Source organism: Homo sapiens, chromosome 3 (assembly GCF_000001405.40).
Source record: "Homo sapiens chromosome 3, GRCh38.p14 Primary Assembly".
In the NCBI taxonomy this organism is placed as follows: Eukaryota; Metazoa; Chordata; class Mammalia; order Primates; family Hominidae; genus Homo; species Homo sapiens.
In genome coordinates, this window is record NC_000003.12 from 55,652,009 (window position 1) to 55,665,188 (window position 13,180).

Here is a 13,180-nt window from a genome sequence, read left to right on the forward strand (position 1 = left end):
CAATCCCTATCAAGACTGTGCCACCACAGCAATGAGGAGCGGGATAAGCCATTTTCCTTTCCTGCGAACATTTCTGGGCTCTGAGGCCTGCCTTTTTTCAGATTCTGTGGGCCTTTGCTAATTTGTGTGACAGCTTAAATGTAAATAGGACACATCTGCATGGGTTAAAAAAATAGCTGCTCGTTGTAAAGGGCAGTGCACTGTGTTTATTTATCATCTACAACTGGAAAGCAGGTTCTGTTTCTAGTCTGTAATAGCTGATGGTTTGCGACAACCTGAGGCATTCTGGAACAGTTTTAGTTGACTATTGACTTTTGACATTAGTCTACATTCATTTTATTTTATTTTTTTTCCCCCAACTACTTGGCTGGGAGAAGAGAGTGAGCACCTATAAAGGTGGACATTTACAGACCAGGTCCTTGAGGCACACACACCTGACCAGATGCCTGCTGTCTGCTGGTGATCACATACCTCTTCCTAACTCTACTAACCACTATTTGCTGGGCAGGTACTTCATGCCAGGTAAGGGCTTCATATGCATTCTCTCTTTTGCTCCTGTCAACCACCCAAAGAAGTGCACGTTGGCCGGGTGAGGTGGCTCATGCCTGTAATCCCAGCACTTTGGGAGGCCGAGGCAGGTGGATCATAAGGTCATGAGTTCGAGACCAACCTGGCCAACATAGTGAAACCCCATCTCTCTTAAAAATATAAAAAAAGTAGCTGGGCGTGATGGCAGGTGCCTGTAATCTCCTGAGGCAGGAGAATCGTTTGAACCCGGGAGGCAGAGGTCGAAGTGAGCCAAGATCACGCCATTGCCCTCCAGCCCGGGCGACAATGCAAGACTCTGTCTCAAAAAAAAAAAAAAAAAAAAAAAACCAATACATGTTATTGTTCTGTTTTGAGAAATGTAGAAACTGAGGCACAGACAGTTGAGCGCACTGACTGTGTACTGAAAAGTATCAGAATTGGTGTCTGAGTTCATGGCTTAGATTATTCTTAACCATCTATATAGTATCTTTCAGAAGTCTCACACTCATCTACCAAGTTGGGCTGCCAGTCAAGGGACACACACAAGCCTCAAACTAAATCTTGGTGGTAGGTGAAGGAATTCATTCAAGAAAAATAACTCACATATAGAAGTGACATCTTTAGTTTTATTCAGACAGCCCAATATCTCTCTTGAATTTCATTACACCATACATATATATTTTATGTGTGTAAGTGCATATTCAAAATCATCATTTCTGTAATCACTTTTTTCATGAATTTTTCCATAGTTCACTTTAATTCTATTGCATTCAACAGGTAAGATAATAAAAGATTACTCTTACTTGCAATAGTGATCACAGCAACAACTGCAAACACCATAGGCTGGCAATTTGGAAAGCAATCTGAGAAGTCACCTCAAAAATTTTAACAAAGTATTATAATCTATCAAAAGAGCACCACAAAGCAATGACAGATTATACCGATGTGGAAAGAAGTCCACAATACACAAAGTGCAAAAGAGGGAGTTGTGGAATAATTTGTATAGAACAATCTCAAACCTGGTAAAAGTGTGTGTGTGTGTGTGTGTGTGTGTGTGTGTGTGTGTGTGTGTGTGTGTAAGCCTGGAAGAATCTCTGGAATGACAGAGTGCATAGATGTGGGGATGTTGCAGAAGGGACTTTCACTTTTCACTATATGCATCTTCTAGACTGTTTAACTTTTTATGCATATGCATTTTTAATTTAAAAAGTGATAAAAATGACATTTAAAAGTGTTCCCAGCCAGCTGTCCCAGGCAGTCCAAGTCACTATTGGTGCGCTCTCTATGGTGATTACTGCCATCAAGGCCATATTTGTTCCTCAGATCATCTACCTGCTGGCCCCAGCTCTTTCTTGGAATGCCCGCTCCATCTCATGGCTGGCTAAGCCAGCTAAACCATGCCCAGCTGATTTTGAGCTATCTAGTTCTCCCTCCTCTTCCTCCTCATTCCTGGTTACATATTGTCATGCCCTTGCTCTTTGCATCCAAGAAGGCCCAGATAGCTGGGAAAACAGTTTGCACTCCAGAAAAGGATGCTGAACTCAGCCTTCTTGATGAGGAAGGCTTGCCCCAACCCAGCTGGTAAAGAGGAGATCAAAAGAAACACACAGGTCTCAGCTCCTCAGCTAAGTCATCCTCCAAACTTGATTCCTCTTTCATTCCAGGCTGTCTAGCAGGGCCACCCATGCTAAGCATGAACACCAGCAAACTGTATCACCTCACATGCTCAGCATTTCAGAAGGTGCACTGTCTGTCCTATCAGCAGGACACAAATCCAGTGTTGGGTGGTAGCACCTGCCAATCAAATGGCTTTTCTGTGTGTACTTCTCCTGAGCTTTGAGGATGTGGTTTCCAGTCTGACTTTCTTGTTTCAGAGCTGAAGTTTCAAGCATGCATCTGGACAAAATATGCTTTCCATATAGGCCAACAATTTATTTATTTATTGCTTATGACATTGTACTTGGCAGCTAAGGAGATATAAAACAATTTGAACCACTCTGCAGAAAACGGTTGCAGAGTTGCCACTGGAGACTGCGGTGGAAGATAACAGAGGAGAATGGAGTCTCGCAGATCTTTCTGTAATTGACAGGCAGAGCCTCTAGAGGCAAGCGCGGCCAGCAGACATTCCTGCAAGGAGCTCACATCTCTTTCCAGCCTCAACTCCTGCTTTGGCACGAGAAGGAGACCGGAGGCATGTGTTGGAAGCCTCCTCTGACAGGACAGATGGAGCCAGTATGAGGACCTTTGCCATCCATCCCTAATTGCCAGGTTAGATGGATGTTTTGGACATTTATTAATGCAGTGGGTGGTGGTGACCTGCTTCCTTCCTCTGCCTGTCTCTCATTGACACTGTGGGTGCCCCTTCCATGGCCTGCTAGGCTCGACCATTTCAGTGTATGCAGCCCAACCTCTAACTGCCCATTCTTGCATGCCTTTGCCTGAGGGCTTCCCTGGCCTCTAAGGCTCACCCTATACAGGCCTGTGGCAGGTGAGGAGTGTGAGGGTATTGATGCCCCTTGGAGCAGCCCTCGGCCGATGACCGTCAGGAATGAAGACACACATATCACAGCTCCCTCACCCCTAAAGTGGGATGACTCAGGTTCCACACTAGCCTCCAGCATTCCACAGCAGGACTAAGCTGCAGTCACCAGTTGCCCACAGTGGTGGCTTGACAACTCCCCCTTTATTGGCTTGCCTTCCCATTGCCTTATTGATGTTTCCTGGGAACACATCCCCCAAGGACAGCTTGTACTACATCCTTGTCATGTAGTACAAAGAAGAGTCTGCTTCCAGGAACCCAAACTCAGAAAACTCCTACCTATTTCTGCCCAGCCCTTAGATTATGGATCAAAATTAGAGGAGCCCCAAGATTGTTTCCTGCACTTGGGCTGGTTGTTGGGCCTGCAGAGTGTTTAAAAGAATTGAAATAAGTTGCTATCATAAATAAATCTAGATTCTTGGATTCTATTGAAAAATGGCACAGATATGGCTATACTGAGCTTGCATTCCCTTATGGCATGTGGGGCTGAAGCTGACTTGTGATGCCCCTCTAACCAAGCCTCCCTGGCCCATTTCCCTCATTGACATTTCCAGACTGGACCCTATGGATAGTTGCTGGGTCAGCCAGGCCACCTATAAGGCCAGGTGCCTTCTTTCTCCAAGACTCCCTGCCTTCCTGAGGGTCTGAGTCACTGTATGGAACACTCAGGCCTAGATCATACATAGAAAAGTATGTGGATAGGGATGTGTGTTCATCCCAGGATGCAAAAATATCAGCAAGAAGAGAGCCACTAACAGCTAATGAGTGCAACCACGTCAGGTGCCCTGCTAAACCCTTTGCATTCTTTTCTTTTCCATTTTAGTCTTCTAGCCACTCTGGGAGGCAGATCCTATTATTTTCTTCATGTTTTATCTGAGGAAACTGAGCCTTAAAGAGTTGGAAAACTTATCCACTTAGCTAGTAATGAAGCTGGGACTCCAGTTTAAATTTGTGGTGTTCTTTCTGTCTGCAAAGCTGCTTGGCCCCTCTCATCCAGGGCACAGGTATATCCATGGAATGCACTTTATTTATTTATTTATTTATTTATTTTTCTGAGTTTTGATTTAAAGAATTTTTTTTAGAAGAAAAAGTCTCACTCTGTCACCCAGGCTGAAATGCAGTGGTGCAATCATAGCTCATGCAGCCTTGAACTCCTGGTCTCAAGTGATCTTCCTGCCTCAGCCTTCTGAGTAGCTTGGACTACAGGAGTACACCCCCACTTCCAACTATTTTTTTTGTTTTGTTTTTACTTTTTATTTTTTGTAGAGCTGGGAGTCTCACTATGTTGCCCAGGCTAGTCTTGAACTCCTGGCTCAAGTAATCCTCCCACCTTGGCCTCACAAAGCATTGGGATTAACAAGCATGAGCCACCATTCCTGGTGGAGAATGCACTTTACATGGTAGCTATGCCATCACCCAGGCCTGGCCTTGAGTCCGGGAGGCTCTGAAACCTTCCTTGTCAGGCCACAGAAGAAGTACATCTCCAAAAAGGCAGCCTCCAGAGTAGCCAGCTCCTGTCTCCTTAGCATTACAAAATAGAGACCTTGTGATTATCTTATAAGGAGAACTCTGAAAGATGTATAGACCAAAAGATTCATTAGCTTCTGACCAACTCAGTCTCTTCTTGTAGGAAGTCACAGGGGAAACCAAGTTAGACTCCGAAGGCCAGCTGAATTTACAATGATATGAAACTATCACTGCAGAACCTGGAATGTCCAACTGTGGCAAGCACAGTCCCCTTCCCATAGACACGGCCTCTAGGGAAGAAGAGGCCTAGAAATAATTTTAAAAGAGAGTAGAAGGGGTCACGATGAAGAGAAGAATGGCATCCTCAAAACTAGGGATGTTGGTTGAAGTAGTCATGTAAGGGCATCAGGCTAAGAGGCCCTGGGGAACTATTCCACAGCAGGATGGTGGCTTTGATGGAAAGAGTGACTGCTGGATTCCTGGCCCCACCTTCCCTCTCATCTCCCCCTAGAGATGGCCTGGCCACTGGGAAGCTCCGTGGCTATGACACCCATCTCCTGGATAGTGGTATGAAGGGCATCCCCAAGATCCTCCTCTTTCACTCCCCCGCTTTTGCCTCCATGGTTGGCTGACACCTCTCCTGACATACCCTTTTTCATTTTGTTTTTTTTTTTGCTGTCAATACATTCAGGCAGCTAGATCTAGCCTGGCTGGCTGGAAGCTGTCCTGGCTCTGTAAGGCAACTTGGCAGATCTCTACTCCGATCTATTCCATTTTGCTTTCTTGGGTGTACAGTCTTATTTCCCTTACTTCCAAGTCCTTGAGATGGGAGGAAGTAACCTCTTTTGCCTGCCAGTGTGTAGACGATAACTCACATCCTCTGTCACTATTATTACTATATTAGACATATTTCTTTTTTTCTTTCTTTTTTGAGACAGGGTCTCACTCTGTCGCCTAGGCTGGAATGCAGTGGCATGATCTCAACTCACTGGAATCTCTGCTTCCTGGGCTCAGGTAATTCTCCCACCTCAGCCTCCTAAGTAGCTGGGACTACAAGCACACACCACCATGCCCGGCTAATTTTTGTATTTTTTGAAAATAGAGAGAGGATTTTGCCATGTTTCCCAGGCTGGCCTTCAACTCCTAGGCTCAAGCAATCCTCCCACCTTGGCCTCGCAAAGTGTTGGGATTACAGGTGTAAGCCACCGCACCCACCCCTGGATGTATTTCTTAACTTCTCTGGTCTAGGTTTCTTTCCCTGTAAAGTGTAGATAACAATTTTTAATTAAAGGATGTGCTCAAAGGGTGAAATGAAATAATGTGTGTAAAGTGCTGAGGAGTGTCTGAAATGTCTAATAAATGGAATAATAACAATACTGGCAATGGCTGTGATTGTAGCACACCTCCTGTGCTCCCTGGAGCTCTGAGGTATAGCTCCCACCGTGGATCTTAACAAATGCTTGCTAAATTGACTTGAGCCAGGACTCAATAAGGGATGCAATTTCTATTCATCTGGCCTCAAACTGACTTATGGAAAAAGGCATTTATTAGTTCTTGTAACTAAATCATTCAGGACTAGTCTGGCTTTGGGCACAGGTGAATTCGGGATCTTAAATGATGTCTTCAGGGATCTGTCTCTGCCTCTCTCTCCATCATTCTTGTCTACTTTCCTTTTCCTTCTGACTTCATTTTCAGGTAGGGTTCTCTTCTCACTATGGCCCTGTCGCTCCCGGTACCCCAAATTTCATCACTCCAGCTTCTATTTCCATAGAGTAAACAGTTCTTTTTCCAAGCAATCTTAACTCAAAATTTCAGAACTGAGACTCATTGGTCTAGTTTGATTATGTGCCCATTTCTGAACCAATCACTGTGGCCTAAGGGATAGCTCCCTCTGAGTGACCAAGTCTAGGGAAAGTGAACTCTGATTGGCTGGCTTGAGTCATGTGCCCATATTGACATAGTGCTGGGTGAAGGGTAACTGTCCCAGAACTGCAAAAACTGAAAGGAATTCCCCAGAGAAACTTGGCCCCTGGTATCAAAAGATAGGGAGACAGACACTGGGCAGACCAAAGCAATGGATGGCTGTACACCATTAGCAGGCATTAAATGCATTTTGCACACTTGCTCATGAATATCTCCCTCTCCCTGTTGCAGAGCCACATAATCAGAAGACTGAAGGACCATTGCTGTGCAAGTGAATCTGAGTAGTTCTGACTTGCCAGCCTGTGACAGGGAAATAGCAGCCACAGATGTTTAACTAAGCAAGTACTACCAGGCCCCAGGCCCACAAGCTCTTCCCCAAGCCCAGTCCCAGCTGACAGGCAGGCGTGACAGGACATGTCAAGGCCAAGAGTCAGGACACCTGTCAAGATGTCACAGTGCCTCAGGACACGTGGGTTGGGCAGGTGACAGCTGCAGTGAACCTTCCCGAGGCCCACAGAGCAACCTGCATCTGCCACCTTCAACAGGCAAGGCATCTTTCTTCTCAGAAAACAAGGAAAGCAAGCAAGCATTTGAAACTGTATATCCTTTCCTGTTTCATTAAGGGGTTGGGCTTTGTTTTCCTGAAAGCTTTTGTTCTTCTGTCAGCATATTCAAAACAACCAAAAGGCGTTACCTGCTCTGAAATCCCTGAGATGCCTATCCTCAGAGGTGCTTTTGGCTGTCTTATGCAGCAGAAGGAAGATTTGCTTCCTAGCTGATTCTCCAGTCCTCAGGACATTCACAAATGGCAAATTATAAGCCCGTGTTGCCTCTGCTGACTGCAACTTGGGCCTGTCAGCCCAGAATAATATTTGCATGATGATTTGGCCAAATCAGGCCTGGCTGTCTGTCATCCTGGGCTCCCTTCTCTCCCTCCACCAGACGAACAAACCCCGTGGCCCCTCCTCCTCAGATAGCTCTGGAATCCCGCTGCTTTTCCCCATCCCTGATCTCCCCACCCTTCCTTTCTACCCCCTACCACCTCTCTCAGGTCCCAATAGTCTCTGTGCTCCACTCACTCCCCTCCATCAATTCTTGGCTCTTCCACCAGAGGGGTCCTTCTAAAGCACCCACATCCGTCCATGCCACTGCTCAGCCTTTTCTTTCAATGGTTTCCAAGTCCCCTTATAATTAAGTTCAATCTCTTCAAAAAACTAGCAGAAAGGCTTTCTGACCTCAGTCTCAACCGATAGCCTGTTTGCCTCCTATACTCCAGATGTATTTATGGACATAGGTAGGCTCCCAGATCAGATCTACATCATGACATCCCCTGGGGCTGGGCTATTCTCCTCTGCCGCCTCTGTACCTGGCCAACTCCTACTTATCCGTGAGGCCACAGCTCAAGGGTCACTACTTCTGGCTTCTGAATCTCGGTATGGCGTCTCTCCCATATTTGCTCTAGGCATCTAGTGCCTCCTCCACTACAGCACTTATTATACTATCCTGAAATTGCTTGCTTTTCTGTGCTTCCTTCATTAGCCTGGAGTAATGGAGCCTGGAAGATCTATGAGTATGGAACTCACCTTATTCATTACTGCATCATTAGCTTCTCATGCAAACCCCATCACATTATGGAAGCTCAGTTCATATTTGTTAAATGTCTGAACAATGTGAATGTTCATACTCAGACTTTCCATTGGCTGAATTTGAGGTCACAATTTCTGTACATGCAACTGAGAGCAAATTGGCACATCAACCCGCACCCCCACCTCCAGATAAAATGTAAGCAATAGCATTTGTTCCACCTGATATTCCTTTTGGCTCCTGATCTTTATGTCCAAGTTATAAAAATGTCTCCATCACAACTTCCACCCCTGGAATTGAGTGCCTGGTGCAGGGAAGGGGCACAATCTTTGACACAATCTAGAGCAAGTGAGACCTCCAAGGATTTGAAGAGAAATGTAAGAGTGTGCTCTGAGCTTTGGCTTGCAGAACCTGGGGGGTGGGGCGGGGGTGGCGTGGGAGTCTCCTATTTCCTTGACCATCCAAATTTGATTTTTTTTCTCCTTGCTCAGCACCTAGTGGTGTAGTATTCCAAGGGCATTAAAACAAGGTTAAAGGGCTTTATGTGATGAAAGGCATTCTTAGTTGTGAGTGTTTAGCAGGAGTTTAAATATCAGCAATTTTGTATATGGAAACATATTAGCTTCATATTTAATTGGGGTCGTGGTGCACTGTGAAGTACAGCACTTATGTGCACAGACTTGGGTATGATGTCCCACAGACATGGGTTTGAGTCCCAGCCCTGCCATTAATAAGCCATGTGACACCTGCCCAGGTAGCTAACCTCTGTGAGCCTCAATCAGGTCCCTCACCTATAAAACAGGGATAATAACAATAAAAGCATAAATCCTTGTAGGGCTGTTGTGAAGAACAAGGTAAGAAATGCACATAAAGTACCGTGCACAGCACCTAAAATGAGGTAAGCACCTAGAAAATGCAAGCTGGTCTTCTTCATATTATAACATTGGGCCCTTACCCTGCTCCAGTTGCTAGAAAGTAAAAAATGCACCAGCTTGTCCTGTGGGCCAAGTCTCACACACAGATGTTGGTTCAACTCGTCTGTGCATTAGTTTTCTACTGCTATCCTAACACATTACCACACACTTAGTGACTTTAAAAAATATCTATTTATTATCTCACAGTTCCGTAGGTCAGAATTTTGGCACAACACGGCTCAGTTCATTCTCTGCTGAGTTTCATGAGGCCAAAATCACCAGGTGTCAACAGGGCTGCAATCTTTTTTGCAGCTCTGAGGCTGAATTTACTTTCCAGCTCATTCAGGTCACTGGCAGAATTCAGCTCCGTCTGGTTGTGGGACTTTCCTGGCTGGCAGTTGGCTAAGCATCATTCTCAGCTTCTAGAGGCCACCTGCAATCCCTGGCTCATAGCCCCTTTCCTTTTATCACAGCCTCGTCTCTCCTCTCCTCCCCCTTGGGACCTCTCTGCCTCTTCTGCTGCCTAATCTCTCCCCTTCCCTCTTCCACTGCACCACTCTGACTCTTAGACTTTCTTTCTCGACTTTTAAGGGCTAATGTCATGACATTGGGTCCGTTTACATAATCCAGGATACTCTCTCTATTTTAAGATAAGCTGCAAAGTCCCTTCGTCCAGTACCTGGTTAGTGTTTGAATAAAGCATGGGCATCTTGGAAAGGCATCTTTAGATTCTGCCTATCACATCTTATTTGCTGCATTTTAAAATCTGAAACAAAACACATCTCAACACAGCACAGTCATTACGTGTTTAGTTTGGGCTATTTGTGGAGTTGGCTTAGCTGAGAAGAAAAACGTGAAAAGGTTATTTAAAAAAAAAAAGTGGGCCCACCTCCTTTCCTGGGAGACTAATGCTTTGTTAAATATGGACTTTTCAATCCATTTATCAGGGAAATTCCCTTAGATTTTCCCTTTTTCACTTTCTGTTTAATAAAGTCCATACCATTTTAGGGTATTTAAGAATTTAAATATTGCAAAGCTAAGGTTTTTATATATGAAGCTGAACTCCAGATTTCAAACTGTCAGCCAGCAGGGTCTGAACAGGGAGGACTCTTGGGGGCAATCCTGCATTAACACAAACAGGACAGCGTGGGCTGGGAAACTCAAGACTCAGATTGGAATGTATTTGCCAATTGGCAACCAATCCTGTTCTTATCAGCTTATCAGATTTATTTCATGTAGAAAATTAAAATTCTGGGTCTCTATTGTGCAGAAATACTTGCACATACGCCCAAAGGCATATACACAAAATTATTTACTGCAGTCTTGTTTGTGATAGCAAAACATGGCAAACTATCTAAATGCCCATTAACTGTGAGTGGCTAAAATAAACCTTGGCAGGGGAATTCCATGAAATACTTCTGTCGCTATTAGAAAATAAGGTAGGTCTATATATATTGAAACGGAAAGTTTACCAAGACATACTGTTAAGTGAAAAATGCAAATCACAGAAGAAGCTGAATAATATAATCTAATTTGTGTTAAATGAATTATGTGTGCATTATTTGTAAATGCAGACAAAGGACATATCTACCAATTAATTGGGGTCTATTGCTTCTGGGGAGAAGTGTAGAGTTGGGGGACAGAGTGAAGGAGACATTCAGGTTTTAAGTTGTCTACTTCAATATAGCTTAAATATTTTATAATGAGAATTGAGTCATGAATGTAGATTATTTTAAAGAATTGGGTGAAAAATACCATGTTAGACATATTACTAAGGGTAGGGGCATATAGGTTATCTATCAATGGGACTTGAAATATGATGTTATTTGATGTTTCAGAAATTAAGGCCGGCCAAACAGCTAAAATGACTAACCTCTGAGCAATTCAGCTTAAATTCCATGCTTATTCATTGCTACAGTAGAGCCAAGTCCTGATGAGACATGCTGAATGAGAGAGGGCTATTTAACTTCTAGTTTCTGGATGGCTGTGACCTTCCACAGACCTCGCACATAGAAGGTACTCAATAAATACTTGAATAATAAAACAAATGGCACTATTAAATTTGGGAAAAGTCTGGTATCTGCCTTTGATTAAATAAATCAAGCCTACTAAAATCACAGGAGACATATATACAAGATTCAACCCACTGTCAAGAATGGATGAACGGAAGGGAGATGGTTTCCATTACAGAATACAGGCAAGTAAGATTTGGAATTAGACAATCGTTCTTTACTTTCAAACAGAACCAAACAAAAAAATTCCCCAAAAAACAGACCTTAAAAACTAAATCCTAACCCTACACAGCCCCTGGAATAAAGCTTTTCCAATGTACCTGCCAGAGCAGCCAGTAGAGGAGAAAGGGGCTCGGAGGAGGAGGAACTTGCTGTCTGCAGCGCTGCCCCTTCATCAGTGAAGTGGGGCTAGAATCGATGATGGCTAAGCTCCCTTTCAGTGCCAACTTTCTGGCAATCTGTAAGTGGCCACTCTGGTTGCCCAGTATCCTCAAAGGAGCTAGAATCAGTTCTTTCAGCTTCAAAGAAACAGACCCTTGGGTTTGCATGTCAAATGTCATTGTAAACCTATGCCCCAGCCCCCACCTCGTCTGCAGATCACCTATCAGGGTTGAGCTGCAGGAGGAATTACAGTGGCCCCTTCCTTTCGGAGGGCAAGTTGGAAAGGGAGGCAGAATGTGGCAAAATGCCTTCTTCAAGGCCCTCAACATTAAACTTTGCATTGTTTTTAGCTCTTTAAAAAAATCTTTTTTTACTTTTATAGTTCTAAATTTACTTTGGATTTACCAATATTAACTAAGTGGCTAAGTAAATAAATATATAAAGCAAACATGAGTACCACACTGTCCCCCAGGACTCTAAGCCTAGGAATGCAAGGAACCCTGTTTCTAACCATGTACACACACTCTTTGCTGCTATTGGTTTGTCTCTGCCTATAGCCAAGTCACATTTTGCAGTGCGACTATTCTGTAAACTACGCGCTTGTTTGTAAATTGTACCAGATGCTCAGCCACTAACTCAGCCTTATACTTTCATCAGGTTTTTATGTCTTTATGATGTACATCTTTGCCACTCAAAGGGTGGTTCACACACCAGCAGCATTAACATTGCCTGGGAGAAGAGTTGCCAGATAAAATATAGGAAATTCAAATTTTACTGGATGTCAAGCCTTTTATTTTTTTCCCCCCTCTAAATCTGATAACCCTACCTGGGAGTCTGTTAGAAACGTAAAATCTCAGGCTCCACCCAGACCTAATGGAATCAGAATCTGTATTTAACAAGTTTATAGGTGGTTGCAAAATCGACTTGAGTCTACTTAATTCCTGTGATACAAACCTTCTAAGTTCCACTGGCAAATTCTGATCTCACTCTGCATCAAATGTAGATGAAAAGAGTAAGCTGTCAACAAGCTTGGTTTCTGTGTTTTCCCCATTTCGTCATACATTCTGTTCGCAAATGCGCACATTTTTCAACCTGGGCACAGAGGGCACCCCCACTTTCAACCACTCCTGAGCCCGAGCTCACGAACCGCCATCGCTGCAGAGGAGACGCCAGGCGGTGTTAATTGCTTGCTGGGTGGTGGGGAGGAGGGGCTGGGTTACCATCTCGCCTTTGATCAGGAGGTAGAAGTAATGGTTTTACTTACATCCTGCTTTGTCTCTGCACAGGCTGAGAGCCAAGGATCCATTTCAGGCTCTCTCTTTCTTCCTAGTATTCTGTTACTGCCTACATACCGCGGCCCAGAGCTTCAGGCGAGGTTGTGGGGAAACCAAACGCTCTTTGTGGTACACCCACATGACAGGCTTCAAAATGGAAACAATATTTAAGTTTAACCTGGAAGATCAAGTTTGCTCAAATCTCGCAACGCAGGGAGCTTTTGAAAACTTTAGCAGTAGGTCTGCATTTGATGGAGAGAGGCAAGCAGTGATGGAGAAATGAGGCCTTGTTAACAGACACTGAATCCCCACACGGGAGTCAACATTTCGCCTTATTCCTTATAAATAATGGGGATAATAATAACACACTGAGACAGAGCCTTGAAAGCTTCAAGGTGTCTTTACAGCCACATTCTTCTGCAGTCTGCAGAATAATTTTGGGAAGAGGGTGCGCGGTGAAGGTGTAGAAGGTAGCCGTCATCAGCCCCACAGGACAGAGAAGACACATAATCAAGTAAACTGATTTTAAAAGTCAAAAAAATCAAGACACTTTCCTCA

General features: G+C 44.2%; 1 protein-coding gene and 1 long non-coding RNA gene across 20 annotated transcripts in view, besides 3 other annotated features; both read right to left on the minus strand.

The window, feature by feature from the left end:
* The window catches only part of ERC2 (ELKS/RAB6-interacting/CAST family member 2), a 960,157-nt gene that overhangs the window by 143,698 nt on the left and 803,279 nt on the right, over nucleotides 1–13,180 (minus strand). The gene's annotated exons all lie outside the window — the stretch shown is intronic.
* ERC2-IT1 (ERC2 intronic transcript 1) lies at nucleotides 5,198–7,461 on the minus strand. Its single transcript, NR_024615.1, has one exon. It is a non-coding gene; the product is annotated as an ERC2 intronic transcript 1 (long non-coding RNA).
* Nucleotides 6,616–6,815: an enhancer, noted in NCBI's record as "active region_19977". NCBI's record gives its function as "activates an Ori minimal core promoter by ATAC-STARR-seq in GM12878 lymphoblastoid cells {active_cell/tissue: GM12878}" and the evidence as "EXISTENCE:reporter gene assay evidence [ECO:0000049][PMID:35858748]".
* Nucleotides 6,856–6,975: an enhancer, noted in NCBI's record as "active region_19978". NCBI's record gives its function as "activates an Ori minimal core promoter by ATAC-STARR-seq in GM12878 lymphoblastoid cells {active_cell/tissue: GM12878}" and the evidence as "EXISTENCE:reporter gene assay evidence [ECO:0000049][PMID:35858748]".
* Nucleotides 12,501–13,001: an enhancer, noted in NCBI's record as "H3K4me1 hESC enhancer chr3:55698537-55699037 (GRCh37/hg19 assembly coordinates)". NCBI's record gives its function as "activates a minimal SCP1, AML or CMV promoter by ChIP-STARR-seq in naive H9 embryonic stem cells {active_cell/tissue: H9 hESC(naive)}" and the evidence as "EXISTENCE:reporter gene assay evidence [ECO:0000049][PMID:30033119]".